Source organism: Homo sapiens, chromosome 8 (assembly GCF_000001405.40).
Source record: "Homo sapiens chromosome 8, GRCh38.p14 Primary Assembly".
Classification (NCBI taxonomy): Eukaryota; Metazoa; Chordata; class Mammalia; order Primates; family Hominidae; genus Homo; species Homo sapiens.
The window spans coordinates 102,327,969-102,348,308 of NC_000008.11; the positions used below are offsets into that span (position 1 = coordinate 102,327,969).

The following is a 20,340-nucleotide window of genomic DNA, read 5'->3' on the forward strand; positions in this document are numbered from 1 at the left end:
GCAAGGCATATATACTTTAAAGACTGGAGTTCTAAAATGTTTTGAGTTAAATGCTATAAAAATAAGTAATTCAGAGAGGTTCTTAGTAAGACTAGAAACTATAATACTTTTTCACACAAATCAAAATAGCAGTTATTCAAATGAATGTCTAAGGCCATCTTTAAGGTCAGAAGTAAACATTTGCTCTACCAATTTTTAAAAGAATTTAGTGACTTTAGGCCAGGTGTCATGCCTGTAATCCCAGCACTTTGGGAGGCCAAGGAGGGAGAATCACTTGGCGCCAGGAGTTTGAGACTAGCCTGAGCAACACAGTAAGACTCTGCCTCTAGAAAAAAGTTTTAAAAATCAGCTGGGCACAGTGGTGTGTGCCTACAGTACCAGCTACTTGGAAGGCTTGAGTTCAAGGCTGCAGTGAGCCACGACCACTGCACTTGAGCTTGGGCAACAAAGCAAGACCCTGTCTCAAAAAAACAAAACAAAACAATTTAGTGACTTTAAAGCCAAATCGATAATTTGAGACATAATATCCATACTTTGTCAATCTGTATTTTCTAGCTTCTCAACATCTTTTCTTAGCAATTTTCTTGAATATTTTTGCCTTTCCTTAAACCAGAAAGCTTTTTTTTTTTTTTTTTTGAGACGGAGTCTCGCACTGTCACCTGCGCTGCAGTGCAGTGGTACGATCTCAGCTCACTGCAACCTCCACCTCCCAGGTTCAAGCAATTCTCCTGCCTCAGCCTCCTGAGGAGCTGGTATTACAGGCGCCTGCCACCACACCCAGCTAATTTTTTTGTATTTTTAGTAGAGATGGGGTTTTGTATTTTTAGTAGAGATGGGTTGGCTAGGCTGGTCTCGACACCTGACCTCATGATCCACCCACCTCAGCCTCCCAAAGTGCTCGGATTACGGGCGTGAGCCACCAGGCCCAGCCACAGAAAGCTATTTTTAAAGTTACAGTATAAACTAGCCAACAAAAATATACATTAGATTACTAAGGCTTGAGACACTTTGTATTTATGTTAACATAGATCAAAAATGAAAAGATGGAAAAGGAGCAAAAAAGAAAAAAAGAAAACAAGAATTAAAGCATGAAATGTTAATCAATGCAAAGTGTTTCATACCTTGTTATTTTCTGTAGCTACAGTTGCTCTTATGCTATTTGCAGACAGGAGGACTATCTTTTCATTGGTTAACCCCAAAAATGTTGCTCGTGGATGATGTAATGAAGGATTCTTTGAAAGCATAAAAAAAAATTACTATTTTATATGTTGATATGTAGAGCTATTCAATGCAAGATTTCATAAAATAAAATACCTGGGCATTTCTGTAAGGCTCAGATTCACTCCATTTCCACTGATAAAGTTCTCCTTTACTGCTGACAGCCAGAAGTTCAGAATACAGAGCCCCAATACAGATGAATTTTGTTCCATCCTATAAAGTAAAATACAATACTATAAATATAAAAATTGCCAAATCTACTGATTTGAACACTGTCACTTTAATCACTTCATCAGATCTAGATTAATTATGTAAACACATAAACCACAACTATACGAAGTCTTTAGCACAGCCTACAAGGTATCCAATTAAGGTGGCCCTGGCTCCCTCCATTAACTCACTCACCTCCATTCACACTGGCCTTCTTCCTGTCACAGTGGTCTTCTTCCTACCCTCGGACCACTGTCCTTGCTGTTCCCTCTGTCTGTGTTACTCTTTCTCAGGTGACACTCCCTCAAGAGACTGTCTCTGATGACACTATGTACAGAACCACCACTCTCACATTAGTTCCTTACACTGCTTTCTTTTTAATCCACAGCACTTCACAACTTGACATATTTATTTGTTTATACACTATCTCACTCAAGTATAAGCTTTGTCTTATTCACCACTGTAACTTAAGAACTTAGCGTACAAGTAGGTGCTCAATCAATGTGCTGAATGAGTGAAGGGAAAAAAAGAAAAACAGAATACGGAGCTGAAACAGAGAAAAACGATGTCAAATCAAAAGATTCTTTCCCTGTAAGCTCTTTCAAGCTATGGAAACAAGTGCCCATATTTAAGGTAATCATTCGTTCACTTTTATGTTGACATACATGCAATGATTTGGAATGCAATTAAATTATAAAAAGCTTGGCTAATAAATGTAAATAAATAATTTTCTTTAACATAAAACAAATGATCAGAGCCACAAAGCTACCTAGAAATCTCACAGCAAAAATTGCCAGTAACGGATTTTAGGTTGCAAAAATGCTGTTGGTCTATACACAGTACTTCTCCATTTTCTTTGGGATTCTGGCTCCAGGGTATGATAAACAAATGGTGTCTTTCTGGTTTTTCTGTCAAAATTCAATTTTATTTGGTCAGATGGTAACGTTATAGTGCTAAAACTTGTAAAGTCTACAAGATTTATTAATATAACACAATAACAACAGGTTATGCCTTAGTGTTGTACAGAAATAATACTAATTTTAATCGTCTATTTTACCTGTACCAGTCAAACCTATTTTCCTATTTTCAAGTCACTTTTATTGGGGGATGGAAAAGAGACCAAATTTGGAATTCTCCAAGTTAGCAATTCTTCCCTTACCTTTACCATGGATGTCTACAAACCATTACTGACTTTCTCCATAGAAACTGCATCAAATTTTACCTTTCTACTTCATATTCTCTTCTCAATCCTACGGTTAAGAATTAACTATAATGGAATCAGACTAAGTGAGTCCCCAACCTAGATCCAACACTTATTAAGTATGTGACTTCAGGTAAACTATACAATTTCTCTGAAACCATTTCTTCATTTCTAAAATGGGTATTAAGGTAATGCAAATCATGGTAAGGGAGAGGGGAGTGCAGGGTAAAAACCAAACGGAGTAACATATATAGCTGACCCTTGAACAATATGGGTTTGAACTGTTAGGGTCTGCTTATAGTTCTCTTCAGCCTCTGCCATCCTTGAGACAGCAAAAGCAACTCCTCCTCTTCTAATTCTTCCTTCCCCTCCTCAGCCTATTCAACATGAAGATAATGAGAATAAAGACCTTAATGGTAATCCGCTTCCACTTAATGAATACTAAATGTATGTTCTTTTCCTTATGATTTTCTTAATAACATTTTCTCTAATTTACTTTATTGTATAAATACAGTATATACTACATATAACATACAAAATATGTTGTTAATCAACTTTATGTTGTTGCTAAGGCTCCCAGTGAACAGGAGGCTATAATAAGTTTTGGGGGAGTCAAAGTTATGTGGATTTTCAACTGCATGAGGAGTGGGTGCCCCTAACCCCTTCATAGTTCAAGGGTCAGCTGGATAAAGTACACAGCACAGAGCCCAGTGCAAATAAGCACTCAATCAAATTCGACTATGACTAATCTCCTCCCCTGACTTCATCTCTGACTCACCCAGAAAATGATAGCTCTCAGGCAGGGGCTTCCTCAATATTCCTAGCTCTAGATTTGCTTAATGAAAGCACCATTCTCACCTCCTCCCTTCTCCCCATCTCAGAGAAAGAAGTGTTTTCCTCCCCTCCTATTTAAAGATAACCCACAGACACACTGGATGCAACTCCTTCCCATATCCCCCAACAACCATCCAAACAAATCTCTCCTTCAGTCCTAACATGGTAAAGTGAATTACTGCCTGGCATATGTTTCACCTTACCAGTTTTCAGTGATGGACATGACATTTTTTCCAACTGCCAAATCAATGCTCAATGTACGTAATCAGTCCATCTTCTCTTTAAACTCTTCAAATGATTTGCCTCTGTTCATTATCTGTTCTGGAACCCATCCTTCTCTCCCTAATTCATAGGTCACCATTCTCTACTGGTCTTCCACCTACCTTCCATCTCCCTGGCACTACCATGCATGGTCTTCCCTCCATCTCCCTGGTACTACCATGCACTCCCTGCCACTGATTCTGTGTTTCTCCCTGTATTCAAATTGTGCTTCACCTTCAGCCTCAGTGACTTCATCTACCAGAGCATCATGCTTTTAAATGTGTAAATCTCATATCTCCAGACTTACCTACAGCTGTCTTAAAAAGCACAATGACATCCCTAAAATGAATCCGCCATCTCCTGCAAAGCTGTGCCTTCCCTGTAGTTCCTATCTCTATGAATGACATCACCACCCACCTGGTAATGGGAGACACGACAATCGAATTGACTGATGAGAGAAAAGGAAGAGATGAGGCGTGCTCCCAGGTTCCCATGTCTAAACTGATCTCAAATTCCTCTCAGATTCTTCTCTTTCTCTCTCCCCATACCCCTGCTTTGGTTGAGATCCTCACAATTTCCTTGAACAACTGTAGCATTCTCATAACCGACTTTTGATTTTTCCTGTTGCTTTCTCCCATCATGCCAGTAATGTTCACCTCCTTAAAACAAATCAAATACAACAAAGCAAAACCCCACCAATCACATCAAGTCACTTCTCTACGGACTCTGTTGACTTCTTAATTGCTGCAAAACAATATCCTAACTTCTTGCTTGGCAAACTGTCTAGTCATCTCCATCCCATCTCTTCTCCTACTCCCCACCACAAAGCAGCAATTCTGAATTTTTCATGGTTCCTCAAACACATCATGACCTTTTGTGACTCTGGGCCCATGCCCAGATACGTTTGGAATACCTTTGTGCCTTGGTCAATGCCCACCTCACCTTAAAAATGCTGCTTAAATGCTATCTCCTCTGCGATGCCTTTGCCAGATCTCTCAGGTGGTATTGGTCATTTACCACTCAGAACCCCTATAGCACTTTACTCATACTTTCAGCCTAGCACTGATCACATTATGATCACATTACATTCTATGTAAATGTTTGTGTTCCCCACTGAATTCCTTGTAGAAAGGCCAATATCATACTCATGACTATATTACCATATGCCAGCTTGGTATATGGCACAAAGCAGGAACACACTGACCAACTGTTGAATGAACAAATGAATCTTAACTCCAGCTTCTTTGGGTAAATGCCTTACTAGAGCAGTACAATCCTGAACAAACCAGCCCAATAGCAAGAGCATGGTGCATGAGGCCCTCTCAGAACTGACTTGCCTTTATCTTTCAGAGATAGGGCAATGTCCCCCACGGTGATAAGGCCTGGATGAGCCAATTACACCCCTACAGGCCCTGAAAACCCACTATGGACAAATGAAGATGAATAGCACAACTATGAACCCACAGGAAGAGGACAAAAAAATCACCTACTACTTCTTGCCTGCTTCAGATTTATCTGTATTAAAGAAATTTACTGTATGTAAATACAAAACAATCAAATACATACACAAGGACAGTATTTTAGCTCATTCATTTCATAAGTCATAGAAAACAATGTTTTTATTGTTTTTATGAAGTACGAATTGCTGCTTCTTAGCAAGCTGACATCTGCTCAATCCAACTAGAGAAAGTGGCTATGCATGTTTCCTTAAAGAGCAGTAGTTTGTAGCTCTATTTTTCAACAAAAAGAAGTTGAATCAGTAAATCTGCAACTGTCCAACATAAATGGGTCATAAATTTAACTAGAAATCCTTCCTCAAAGGGGGAAGGAAAACTGTTAAAAATATGAGACATGAAATAGCGGCCAAAGCTTTAAAAAACACTTGGCCCAGCAACACCAACTCTATTAACTGGCCACACCTATGTTTACTAATTCATATTGTGAAAAAGTTGGCATCTCTATTCCTGAATTTTGCCCCACAAAACTTGGTTTTCACATTTTTTCTACTATGAGCAAACACTGGTTTTATCATTAGGTAGCAGCTCCAACTCCTATCACTAAATACAATATACTGCACATCATGATTGGAATGATGGCAACTACAAGATACACTGCAATTTGGCCAACTGTGTCCATTCACACTTCATCTCTCTCTGCCTATCCGCTTTTCCATATGCTTTTTCTGCCGAGTTTCTTTTCCTTTTTATGATCATTTTTCATTTTGTTCTTACTTCATATTAAATTACATTTGTGACACATCTAGTTAATCCTGGAAGTTTCCAGATGTCAATAAAAACAAAACAAAGACCTTCCCCAGCCAACTTCCACTTTTAGAATCCTCTGCCTTCATTTTCCTCAGTGTTGGAAGCACAATGAAGGTGAAGCAATATAACCCACAAGTCTGATCAGCTGGTTCCAACAGGGAGGTTGCTCCAAAGAGCTTAAACAAGGGGTCAAATGAAATGGATCCATTTCCTCTCAACACCATTCAAAGAAACAGAGTAACATACAACTCTACAATATAAAGGGCTGGTGGGAATAATTCTACTTATTGTTTCCTCTAGACTAGATAGAAATAGATCCAGAACAGTAAGGAATATTAATGTTTTTTAGCGGGGAAACAGAACCTCACTCTGTCGGCCAGGCTGGAGTGCAGCAGCACGATCTTGGCTCACTGCAACCTCCGCCTCCTGCGTTCCAGCGATTCTCCCACCTCAGCCTCCCACGTAGCTGGGACTACAGGTGCACGCTACCGCACCTGGCTAATTTTTGTATTTTTAGTAGAGACGAGGTTTCACCATGTTGGCCAGACTGGTCTCGAACTCCTGACCTCAAGTGATCCGTCTGCCTTGGCCTCCCAAAGTGCTGGGATTGCAGGCATGAGCCACCAAGCCCTGCCAGTTAATGTTAATTAACAGTACCGAGTCAGGCGCCGTGGCTCACGCCTGTAATTCCAGCACTTTGGGAGGCCGAGGCAGGCAGATCATGAGGTCAGGAGATCGAGACCATCCTGGCTAACACGGTGAAACCCCGTCTCTACCAAAAATACAAAAGACTTAACCGGGCATGGTGGCAGGTGCCTGCAGTCCCAGCCACTCGGGAGGCTGAAGCAGGAGAATGGCATGAACCCAGGAGGCAGAGCTTGCAAGGAGCCGAGATCGTGCCACTGCACTCCAGCCTGGGCAACAGAGCAAAACTCCCTCTCACCAAAAATAAATAAATAAATAAATAAAATAAAAAAATAAAAAGTATCTGCACTCTCATATTCACTGTGGTAGTATTTATAATAGGTAATATATGGAAAAAGCTTAAGTGTCCTTCATGGACAAATGGATGAAGAAAACACACACACACAGACACAACAGAAAAAAAGGATAATTATTCAGCTTAAAAAAGGAGATCTTGCCATTTGCCACAACATGGATAGACCTAGAGGACATTATGCTAAGAGAAATAAGATAGACACAGGGAAAAAACATATTGTGTGATCTCACTTATATGTGAAGTCTTTTTTTTTTTTTAAAGGTCAAATATACAAAGGTAGAGAATAAAGCAGTGGTTACCATGGGCTGACAAGCAGTGTGGGGGTGTGAGGGAGGGAAAATGGGGTTATAGGATACACAGCAGACATGTAGGATGCAAATCTAGAGCTGCAATTGTTATGTCATGAGGATTACAGTTAATAAAATGGTATCATATTATGGATTTTTGTTAAGTAGATTTTAGCTGCTCTTGTCACAAAATAGTAACTGTGAGATGATAGATGTGTTAATCTATTATAGTAACAATATAAATACATGTATCCTATAACCTGTTGTAAACTTCAAATATACACAATAAAATTTATTTATTTATTTAGTTAGTTAGTTTTTTGAGACAAGAGTCTTGCTCTGTCGCCCAGGCTGTAGTGCAGTGGTGTGATCTTGGCACACTGCAACCACCGTCCCCCAAGTTCAAGTGATTCTTGTGCCTCAGCCTCCCAAGTAGCTGGGATTACAGGCATGTGCCACCATGCCCAGCTAGTTTTTGTATTTTTAGTAGAGACGGGGTTTCACCACTTTGGCCAGATTGGTCTCGAACTCCTGACCTCAGGTGATCCACCCGCCTTGGCCTCCCAAAGTGCTAGGATTACAGGCGTGAGCCACCGCGCCTGGCCCAAGTGCAGATATGCATGATTTCATCTCCTCTGGGTACGTACATAATAGGGATTGCTGGGTCCTATGGTGGCTCTATTTTTAACTTCTTTAGGAACTTCCATACTGCTTTCCATAATAGCTATACCAATCTAGTTCCCAACAGCATACAAGGGTTCTCTTTTCTCTGCATCACTGTCAACATGTGCTATCTCTTGTCTTTTTGATAACAACCATCCTAATGGGTGTGAGATGGTATCTCACAGTGGTTTTAATTTGCATTTCCCTGACAATTACTGATGTTAAGCACCTTTTCAAATATCTGTTAGCCATTTTTATGTCTTCTTTGAAGAAACGTCTTATAAGGTCCTTACCCGGTTTTTAATCAGGTTATTTTTCTGCTACTGACTTCAAGTGTGCTTTATAAATTTTGAATATTAACTCCTTATGACATGCATGGTTTGCAAATATTTTTTCACAGTCTATAGAGTGCCTTTTTATTTTGTTGACTGTTTTCTTTACTATACACAAAGGTTTTTTGTTTCATGTAGCTCCATTTACTTATTCTTCCTTTTGAAGTTTGAGTTTTTGGTGTGAAATCCAAAAAAAATCACTGCCATGAGCAATGTCAAGGAGCTTTCCTTATATTTTCTCATAGTTTTTAAGGTTTCATATTTCACATTTAGGTCTTTTGTCTATTTTGAGTCGATCTTTATGTATTGTCTAAGATAGGAATCCAATTTTACATGTGAAAATCCAGTTTTCCCAGTACCACTTATTGAAGAAACTATCTTTTCCCCACTGGTGCCCTTGTCAAAAATTAGTTAATAATATATGTTTGAATTTACTTCTGGGCTCTCTACTCTGTTCCATTGGTCTATGTTTCTGTTTTTACGCCAGCACCATATGGTTTTGATTGCTTATAGCTTTGTAATACTATTTTAAACCAAGAAGTATGGTGCTTCCAATTTTCCCATTATTGCTTTCACTATTTGGGGTATTTTATGGTTCTTTACAAATTTTAGGATTGCTTTTTTATTTCTGTGAAGAATGCCACTGGAATTCTGATAGAGATTATGTATAAATCTGTACATTACTTTGAGCAGTATAAGTTTAAAAATACTAATTCTTCCCATCCATGAAGCTCCCTAGACTCAAGAGATCCTCTCGCCTCAGCCTCCCAAAGTGCTGAGATTATAAGCATGAGCCACAGCACCTAGCCAAGATTATTTTCTTAATTTCTTTTCCGGCTAGGCTGTTATTTGTGTATAGGAATACTACTGATTTTTGTATGTTGACCTCGTAGCCTGCAACTTTAATGAATTTATTAGTTCTAACAGGTTTTCTTGTGAAATTTTGGAGGGGGTTCTACATATAAGATCATGTCATCTGCAAATACAGATAATTGTACTTCTTCCTTTCCAATCTGGATGTCTTTTATTTCTTTTTCTTGTTTGATGTTCATTAGTGCTTCCAGTACTATGCTGAATGGAATTGGCAAGAGTAGGCATCCCTGCCTTGCATTAAATATTATTGGAAAAGCTCTGAGTTGCTCCCTGTTGATTGTTAGCTATGGGTTTTTTCATATATGGCTTCTATTATATGCAGGAGCTTTCCTTCCACAGCTAAACTGTTAAAGAGTTTTTATCAAGAAAGAATGCTCAACTTCTTCAAATGCTTTTTCTGCGTCAATCAAGGTGTTCATGTGATTTTCAGGTTTCATACTGCTAACATGATCTATCACATTGATTAATGTGTATATATAAAGTCAGCCTCATATGCCAGGAATAAATTCCACCTGGTCGTGATGTATATCTTTTTGATATGTGTTGAATTCAGTTTCCTGAATTTTTTTTGGAGGATTTCTGCATCAATGTTCAAAGATATTATTAGCCTATGGTTTTCTTTTCCTCTGGCGTCTTTGTCTGGCTTAGGCCTTGTAAAATGTGTTTGGTTTAGATTCTTGTTGGAAGTAGGTTGGTATAAACACATATATAATTACAATTTACATGCAGACATTCAGCAACATATTATGAAATTTCTAATCTAGAAAAAATAAATTGCAAAAATGACTGAGAAGAGAAAATGGAGCCATGTTATACAACCACCTAATTAAAAGATTACCTCTTCTCACCAAAGTAAATGAATTATCAAAGCTATTCCAGAAATGCAAAATGTAATAAGCAGTCATACAAGCCAGAAAAACAGTAAAAAACAGTAGGTGCACAGATGGTTAGATGGAAAGGTGGATGGACGGAAGGATGGAAAGAATGGCTAGAGAAGGGTGAGTAAAGGGAGCGGGAAAAAGGAGTCGGCGGGGAGTATGGGGGAAGAGAGGGAGGGGAAGCAAGAAAGGATAGATTTTAGGGAGTAGGGATAGCATAATAAGAAAGTTGATGTTTTGGGGTAAAAACCTTCAGAAACCAGTATCAACTTGGCTGGTTTCACTGTGAACATCATAACCTTGAACTTAGAGCACAGACTTAGGCACTCCCTCCCCTTCTCACTTTGGTACATATAGGCTGCCCTTAATTTCCTATTACACTAAATTATTACTATAATAAAATGTTTTCATAACTTGAATTCATTCTAGTCCAGTCAGATAAAGGGGGCATGCATGATCTGTATCTTTTTGGTCTGTGTCCAATTCACTACTAACAGAGAACCTGGCACATAACACACAAGTGCCACATAAACGTACTTCGAAATACCCAACTGGGCTCTCTCACCCTCCCATGACCTGCAGGAACTGCCCGTTCTCCCTTCCTGGGACAGGACCATGCTTCTCCTTGCTCTTTGCACTTTACATAAACTAACTTATTTAATTCTCATAACAAACCCATAATGTAAAAAGTATTACTATATCTATCTATATGAGAAAACCAAGGCAGAGAGAAGTTAAAGAACTTGATCAAGATCACACAACTAGACAGTGGTAGGATTAGGATAGGAAATCCAGCAGTTTGACTTCAGAGTCCACACTCTTTGTAATCATTCTGTGCAGCCTCCTGTGATTTCCCAATGCCTCCTGTGCTACTGTGTAGCTATTACGTATGTATGTATGGAAACCTATTATGGTACTTATTCAAACAAATTAACATTATTTTTCTTCTTCCTATAAAATCTCTCACCCTAACATCTAACAAAAGGCCTAACACATGGCACATATTTAATCAAGGTTTCTAAAGTAATAATGACTGAATGACCCTTACTTCTGTCTTTATGGAACTTTCAAGATGCCTATAATTTTCAATTATGCTTTTATATTAGTTTTGACATTTAATTCAAGAATAATTTTGGGAAATATGTGTATTTTACAGTCACCTCAAATATTTTCAGTTCAATACTATACCACAAAACCTTAAAGAAAAGAGAACATCCTATCATTAAAATAATTTTATTGGCTTACAAAAGGGTAAAACTGCCAGGCACGGTGGTCACGCCTGTAATCTCAGCACTTTGGGAGGCCGAGGAGGGTGGATCACCTGAGGTCAGGAGTTCAAGACCAGCCTGGCCAACATGGTGAAACCCATCTCTACTAAAAATATAAAAAATTAGCTGGATGTGGTGGCAGGTGCCTGTAATCCCAGCTACTCAGGAGGCTGAGGCAGCAGAATTGCTTGAACACAGGAGGCAGAGGTTGCAATGAGCCGAGATCACACCACTATACTCCAACCTGGGCAACAAGAGCGAAACTCCATCACAAAAAAAAAAAAAAGGTAAAATTTTGAAGAACTGGTTGTTCCTCTAAATGGATGCTGGGAAAGTAGGTACTAATCCAGTTCCTTTACCAACAGAATTAAGCTTGTACCCTAACAAAAGACAAAATGAAAATTACTATGGACACTAACAACCATACTTAATATTTAAGAGTATTGTATTAGGTCATTTCTGAAATTAAACTAGGATGCATATTTTGATTGCCCCCACTCCTAAAAAAGCTACTCCTTCCCGTATAAAAAAAAAACTTCATTGCTGCATCTGCCATTTACAAGACATTTGAAATAAGCAAAGACATGAAGTTTCCTTCTCCATAAAAATGAATGGATCAGAGGCAAGCCAATTCCAAGTTTACTATTGTGTACAAAATTGAGACTATCCTTTAGCAGCCTGGTATGTCAAGAACGTAGAAATAACACTTTCAGTCAAAATAATGCAAGTTACCAAGATTTTTTTTAAAAAGCAAACCCCAATCAAGATTATAAGGAAAGTCACATTTTAAGAATATTACTTTGGATGACTAATCACCACCTGTCTCCTGCACTAAACCTCACAAGTTTCATAAGACAGGCTCAATATCCGATCTTGTGATTAATATAGCCCCCATAAGTAGCAAGGTACTAGGCAATTAGCAGCAATGTCTGTGGCATGGAGGAGATAAAATGATAGATGCATGCTCTGCAACTGCTCTGGTTTTCCAGTGTTAGCCTTAGCATGACATTCAAACTGTCTTGAGCTAGGAATTCCTAATGGACCCCTCATTAGACAAGCCCCTACTCTTGGCAGACCACTCTCATCTGGTGCTGGTACCTCTTCTCACCAATGGTAAATACCAAGTGCATCCTGACACCCTATCTCCCTGCATTCTCCACCTACCTCTCTATTCCCTATCAAGCCTTCCCCCAAAACCTTTTGCTCCTCAGGAATCACTACCCCTAACTAATTTTGAGAAACCAATATAAGTCTCACATATTACCAGTTTCTTCACATGGTATTTATCCTGCGCCCCTGTATAATACTTTGTTTTCCTAAAGTTACATAAAAACAAGGTCTTCTTTCCCTTTAATAGCTCTCTACATTCTCTTGTAGCATTCAGCCCTGCAAACAAGCACCTAATGGTATTTACTGATCACTATGATAATGCTTAACAGTTTAATTAAAGGCTTAAGCTGTTTTCTTTCCCAGAATTCAAGTATGAATTTCTAGATTTCCATCATGTGCTAGTAAAAAGAGTTTTTTCCATGTTGCTATTTTAAATTTGGTATTTAATGGAAAAAAGAATATAGGTAGGATATACTTTGTTTCACATACCGCTCTTCTTCCATTCACTCGGTGGCTAAACAAACCAAGGAATAATGCACTAAAAGTCTATACAGTGCCAAGATTTCATGATGCACTTACAACTGTCTCTAAAAACAAGGTATACTTAAAAACATATCTATCATATTTTTAGCCAGGCCAACAACGGCTAGCTAAATCTAACAGAGGGTACAATGGCTAGGCTTGCTAAACTTACACTATTCAGAAATACTTTCATTAATCAAAAATAATACATGACAAACCTAGATTAATAATACGTGGTGGCCCTATTAAAACATAATTCAGGAGTCTCTTTTACTTCCTGCAAATATGAAATAGACACAACTCTAACATGATCCAGACAAGAGAAATAGGAAACGGTAATTGATGTACAAAAAGAAAAAAAAAGTAAAAGCCCAATGGTTTAAATCAGTCCCTACCATATGAAGTAAAAGTAGAACTTGGGACATTTCTAGTTTTAGGGAAATAAGTAAAAGAATGCAATTCAGGGAAAGTTTGGCAGTTGCCAAAGAAAACAGAATAACCTTTTGCTTCCAAAGAGACTGATTAAAATTCATGTTCCTTCTTGCATTCAAACTTGCCACATGAGCTGAATGCAGAGGAAAATAAATGAACTACAACAAGACTCACAGTAACCATGGAAACGTAAATTTGGAAAGTTAAATAATATTCGCCTTCAATATCCCGGATTCAAGTTCTAAATCAAAGAAAGAAAAGAAATCCATATCAGGCTCTCTTTATCTGCTAGTGGGGCCCCAAAGTTCCCATCTTCTTTTAGTTTATTTCTGCTTTAGAAAATTTCCTACCCAAATGGTTCTGGAAATAAGAAGAAACAGACGCAGTAAAAAACAAGCGAAAAACATGGGTTCCAATAGGAGCCTCTGAAGATGAACTATCAATTACATACATACCATCAACAGGATACATCAACTCTGTTTCACTTATGGCAGTGATGGATTTTTAAAGATTCAAATCAATTACCAAATCCTAGATGCTTTCTAGAATCCAGTCATTGCACTATTCCTCAGGATACAGAGCATAACTCCCCTAGCCCATTCCTGTTCAGTCAGCTTTGTCTCCCACAGCATTCACCGCAAAGAATCTGTCAGAACTCACTGCCATTAAATGGCATAGTTAACTAATCAAAGAACACAGATCCCTAATCTTGTCATGATATACATGCTGTATCAATGACTAAAAACATGCCCTGCAGAAACTGGTGTCCACCTGACTTTAGAAATTTGACAAAACAAATTTCTACCAAGGAATGTAACACCACTTACTGGAGTAATTATTACCAGAAAAGAAGTACTGGAATAGCATGCTGATGTGTTATCTAGAACTAACATCCTAATTTCTCTGATTTACTTTATCAAGTAGTAAGATACGTTGCACCACTGAATACATCTCACTGAGATGACTCATGGAGTGCCAAATAAAGATATATTCTATCTATATTTTAAAACAAAACAAAAATATTGTTTTATATATTTGTGTTTTTCCTTGAGTGATAGTACAAAAACCAGAATAAATAAAATGGAAACCTTAGAGGGAGGGGTTGTCAGGGATCCATTTAAATGGAAGCAGTGTGAATTTTTTCCAAATACCTTATCAGGCCACCACTGCAAATCTTCTCCTAGAGATACTGGACTTTGAACAGGTGTATTCTTCTTATCCAAGTTTGGCTCTCCTTCCTTGCTGGTAGAACCCCTTTCATTATCAAATGAGGCTCCATCAAGCCACCTTCGTTCACGTAAACGTAAAACGGATTCACGTTCACGCAACAGCTCAGAGTCTCTCTCTAAGGGAAGAAGGAGAACTGGTATGCAATTGGGTCACACCAGTGGGATAAAAGTAAGCCACTCTCTAGTAAAGACCCTTCAGGATGCAACTAACAGCAGTTTATCTACTCATAAAAATTTATGTAAATGTATATCTAATAAGGCTGACATGCAACATTCAAAACATCAACCCTTTCAAGTGAATGTATAAAAATTATAACTAGTATTTTAAAAAATTAGAGGCAGACTTTTGTATATTTCAACTACATGGTTTTAGAGTGGAACTGCTTTATTTTGAAGTATATTTGGTTCTTTTTTAAAGAATTTTAAATTGTTGGCTTTCATTAGAAATGCGTACTATAAATTCAATTTACATATCAGAAAATATACACTCCTCGTTTGTCTACTGGTGGGTTTAAAAAGCACATAAATTTAGAACTTCAACATGTTACGTATATAAGCAAACTCGAAAAATGCACACATAGAAAAAACCCTAAAAAGGGTAAACTATGAATCCATTAATATAAGCTAATTATAAAGTTTTTAAAAATCCAAGCCCTTGTTTAGAGTAATTTTTATAGGATGAATTTTTATGAATAAGTCTTAAATTTTACTGAGGAACCAGACAGGCTTTTTTTTAAAAATAATCTTTATAAAATGATTTCCTTACCAAAATGCTTCCCATGGCTATTGGCCTACAAACTATCTAAAGCCAGTTTTTCTGAAGTTGCTCATACATTACTTTTTAAAGAACGTAATCCAAATAAACTCTCTAAGACTAGGATAAATAAGGATTAGAAACAATAAATTGAACTATACAAAATTACCATATATAGGTCAAAAGTGGTCAAGTATTAGCTATTCCATATGGTTCAAACTAAAAGTAATGCCTACATAGGATGAACATAGGAAAAGAGACATTTGGCCAGGTATGGTGGCTCACACCTGTAAGCCCAGCACTTTGGGAGGCCGAGGTGGGTGGGTCACTTGAGGTCAGGAGTTCAAGACCAGCCTGACCAAGATGGTGAAACCCTGTCTCTACTAAAAATACAAAATTAGCCTGGTGTGGTGGCGAATGCCTGTAATCTCAGCTACTTGGGAGACTGAGGCAGGAGAATCACTTGAACCGGGAAGGCAGAGATTGCAGTGACCCAAGATCACACCATTGCACTCCAGCCTGAGCAACAAGAGCGAAACTCCGTCTCAAAAAAAAAAGGGGGGGGTGGGCAGGGGGGAGAACATGGGAAGAGACCTTTAAAGGAGTTATTTATGTTAGATATGGAATATTTGAAAATATATTACTTGACACATTTAAGGCAGTAAAGTATGCATTTATTTTTAAATTCATAACACTATTACATAGTGCATTCAATATATTAAAAGATCACCACAGATCTGTTATTTTAAAACTTTATTCCTAAGTACTAAAAGTATATGCAGCAAGCTCTTAATATAACATGACACACTGTCCAGTTTAAAGATCAGTAAATACAGCCAATTTCTGTTATCTGAATCAAGTAGTTTTACATTCTGGAAAGTAAAAATATTGACAATTATAATGTAAACAAGCCATACACAAACATATACAGAGAAAGGCAGGATTAATTATTTCAAAATCTTTCTAACCTCTACCATGTACTGTTAACTTTTAAGGATTTCAAACTTTTTTTTTTTTTTTTTTTTTTGAGACGGAGTCTCACTCTGTCTCCCAGGCTGGAGTGCAGTGGTACCACCTCAGCTCACTGCAAGCTCTTCCTCCCGGGTTCATGCCATTCTCCTGCCTCAGCCTCCCGAGCAGCTGGGACTACAGGCGCCTGCCACCATGCTTGGCTAATTGTTTTTGTATTTTTTTTTTTTTAGCAGAGATGGGGTTTCACTGTGTTAGCCAGAATGGTCTCAATCTCCTGACCTCGTGATCCACCCACCTTGGCCTCCCAAAGTGCTGGGATTACAGGCGTGAGCCACTGCACCGGCCTCAAACTTTTGAAAATAGCATTTTAGGCTGGGCGCAGTGACTCATGCTTGTAATCACAAAACTTTGGGAGGCTGAGACAGGCGGATCACCTGAGGTCAGGAGTTCAAGACCAGCCTGGCTAACATGGTGAAACCCCGTCTCTACTAAAAATACAAAAATTAACTGGACATGGTGGCAGGCACCTGTAATTTCAGCTACTCAGGAGGCTGAGGCAGGAGAATCTCTTGAACCCAGGAGGTGGAGGCTGCAGTGAGCCGAGATCGTACTACTGCATTCCAGCCTGGGCAACAGAGTGAGACTTCATCCCCAAAAAAAAAAGGCATTCTAATAAACTAAACATTTCTATTCATTTAATATTGGTCCTAAATCCATTCTAGTAAGTTTTTTCACATTTCATTATTTTATCTAACCAGGATTTAAAATAAACAGATCACTTATTTTAACCAAATAAACTAAGACTTGTTTTCTGAATGCTGCATGTCACTGTAAAGTAGAATTCTGCTTTTAGTTCAGAATCCATATTCCTAATTAAAAATACATTTAGGTGAAGTCATAGTCCTTGACATCAATTCCACAACGTAAATAGGATCAACTCTAAAATACTATTGTGGCTCTTCAAAATAAAAAATAATTAATTTTAATGCTAATGCATTCATAAAAAACTAATAATAACTGTAATATTAGAAGTTCAAATACAGTCAGTAGATTCTACCACTATCTTTCCATACAGCTAGCCTGTGACCAAAATAAATATATAAATAAATGCAAAATTACCTCGAGATGAGCCTAGCCTGGAAAGTGATGAACGACGAAAAGAAGGGTAACCAAAATAGCTAATGTCTTCAGAAAACATGGCATCTGCATCAATAATGACACTTGGGTGGGCAGAATGAATGTCGGCATCAAGGAGAGACATAAGATCCTCTATAAACAGAAACAAACATCACTGCAGCATACACACAAAGAGCAACTGTAGACTGCTGAAAGAGCTCTAAAAATTCACATACATTTAAAAACTAGGGAATGACATCGCCTGAGGAAAAACACAACAACCTACATTATTAACAAAGATTTTAAAGAACATCAAATGCATAAATGTCGCCTGAGCTACTTACTACATAATCACAAGAAAGATCACTCGTTAAGATATAACACTTGTGGCCGGGCACGGTGGCTCACATCTGTAATCCCAGCACTTTGGGAGGCTGAGGCAGGCGGATCACAAGGTCAGGATATCAAGACCATCCTGGCTAACATGGTGAAACCCCGTCTCTACTAAAATACAAAAAATTAGCCAGGCGTGGTGGCGGGCGCCTGTAGTCCCAGCTACTCGGGAAGCTGAGGCAGGAGAATGGCATGAACACAGGAGGCAGAGCTTACAGTGAGCCGAGATCATGCCACTGCACTCCGGCCTGGGTAACAAAGCAAGGCTCCGTCTCAAAAAAGAAAAGAAAAAAATAAAAGAAACTTTACAATAAAATCAAGCAACTCTACAGTGAAAAATATCTACCACCTTGAAAAGAATATTCAGAAAAGTCTATTGTGCTTTAAATTCCACTCCCCAGTCGAAAGAGCACTCCAGAAATGAGAAAAACATGACGGTGATCCACCAACCTCCAGGCAAATAAGATTCGCTGGCTGTATCATCCCCATCATCTCCATCTTCATCATCCCGGCTAAGTAAATTATTTACAGCAAGGTTCACATCAAGATTTGTTCTCTGAAGTTCTCGAATAATGACACTTCTGGATTTGCCTTGTAAAACAACTTGGGCCTGAAATAAAAAATAAAAAGAAGTGCTATGGTAATTTTCTTTTGATTAAATTCTTTATCAAAATCAGCTTTCTAGGACAGGATGTGGTGGCTCAAGCCTGTAATCCCAGCACTTCGGGAGGCCAAGGTGGGCGGATCACCTGAGGTCAGTAGTTCAAGACCAGCCTGGCTAACATGGTGAAACCCCGTCTCTACTAAAAAATACAAAAATTAGCTGGGTGTGGTGGTGCACACCCATTAATTCCAGCTACTCGGGAGGCTGAGGCATGAGAATTGCTTGAACTCAGGGGACGGAGGTTGCAGTGAGCTGAGATCATGCCACTGTACTCCAGCCTGGGCAGCAGAGTGAGACTCCCTCTCAAAGGAAAAAAAAAAAGTTTTCTAGGATCAAAATAGGAAAACAGTTGTTTCAGAACTCATGATATGAGTCATGACTACAACCCACCATATTCAGTAAAACCTCACCTTGTCCTGTTGTCTGACATTAAGTGTTCTACGAGATCCATACCTGTGAAATCAGCTCCTCTGGAATGACAGATGCTGGAATAACTGGCTGGGGCTGACTGCCCAAAAGCCCAGACCCTCGATCCCGTCCTGTCCGAATAACTCGAGTCTGCCGGCGGGAATCTCGAGCTCCAGCTGATGACCTACCAGAGGATCCTCCACCACTTCCACCCACTCCAGAACTCCAGCGGCTTCTAAATATTGGAGAATTTATAAAATTAGCATTTTAAACAATCATTCTGATTGCTTGGTTTTCATTATTATTATTTTCAGCTAAGATAAAGTTATCTGTCTAATTGACATAACATGTTACATAGTGTTGTGACAAAAGAATAAGGTAATAGAACTGAGCTTTAAAATAATAATACTGTTTTTTAAAGAAATGGGGTCTTGCTATGTCACCCAGGCTGGAGAGCACTGGTTATTCACAAGTACAAAGTACACTACAGCCCAGAACTCCTGGGCTGAAGTGATCCTCCTGCCTCAGCCTCCCTAGTAGCTGGGGATTATAGGCACGCACTACCATACCTGACAAGTGTCCCAATTTTTTTGTGTTTTTGAGATGAGGTCTTGCTATGTTGCCCAGGCTAGTCTCAAAACTCCCGGGCTCAATCTTCCTGTCTCAGCCTCCTGAGCAGCTAGGATTACAGGTGTGTACTACCATGCCCAATTCCAATTTTTTAATGCTTAAATATAACTTCACTTTTTATAAAGATAAACATCACACTTTTGGATCCTTAAAAAAACTTTTTTTTTTGAGACAGGGTCTCCCTCTGTCGCCCAAGCTGGGGTTGCAGTAGCACGATCTCGGCTCACTGCAACCTCCGCCTCTGCCTCCTGCGTAGCTGGGATTACAGGTGAGGGCCACCATAGCCTGGCTAATTTTCATATTTTTAGTAGAGATGGGTTTTCACCATATTGGTCAGGCTAGTCTCGAACTCCCAACCTCAGGTGATCCACCCACCGTGGCCTCCCAAAGCGCTGCGAAAATAATTTTTTAAAGCCACCTATGTATTTCTAATCACAACTATAAAATGAACACATTGGTCAGGCATGGTGGCTCATGCCTTGTAATCCCAGCACTTTGAGAGGCCAAGGCAGGTGGATCACGAGGTCAGGAGTTCAAGACTAGCCTGGCCAACATAGAGAAACCCTGTCTCTATTAAAAATACAAAAATTAGCTGGGCATGGTGCACGTGCCTGTAATCCCAGCTACTCGGGAGGTTGAGGAAGAACTGCTTGAACCAGGACCCAGGAGGCAGAGGTAGCAGCGAGCCGAGATCGCGCCACTGCACTCCAGCCTGGGCAACAGAGCGAGACTCTGTCTCAAAAATAAATAAATTAATTAATTAAATGAAATAAAATGAACACATCTTGCCTTTGCATGAAAGACCTATCAGACTTAACTAC

The 20,340-nt window shown here is 38.9% G+C and overlaps 1 protein-coding gene across 7 annotated transcripts in view; it reads right to left on the bottom strand.

Moving 5' to 3' along the window:
* UBR5 (ubiquitin protein ligase E3 component n-recognin 5) overlaps positions 1-20,340 on the bottom strand; it is a 160,428-nt gene that overhangs the window by 75,696 nt on the left and 64,392 nt on the right. For 4 of the 7 annotated variants that reach the window (NM_001282873.2, NM_015902.6, XM_047421847.1 and 1 more), the window contains 6 exons: positions 18,935-19,124; positions 18,268-18,427; positions 17,428-17,577; positions 14,505-14,716; positions 1,315-1,431; positions 1,122-1,232 (listed from right to left, as the gene is read on the bottom strand). In NM_001282873.2, coding sequence (NP_001269802.1) covers positions 1,122-1,232; positions 1,315-1,431; positions 14,505-14,716; positions 17,428-17,577; positions 18,268-18,427; positions 18,935-19,124 — 940 coding nt within the window. The remainder of the gene's footprint in view (positions 1-1,121; positions 1,233-1,314; positions 1,432-14,504; positions 14,717-17,427; positions 17,578-18,267; positions 18,428-18,934; positions 19,125-20,340) is intronic. The other 3 variants (XM_047421849.1, XM_047421848.1, XM_024447179.2) reach the window with 1 other exon arrangement.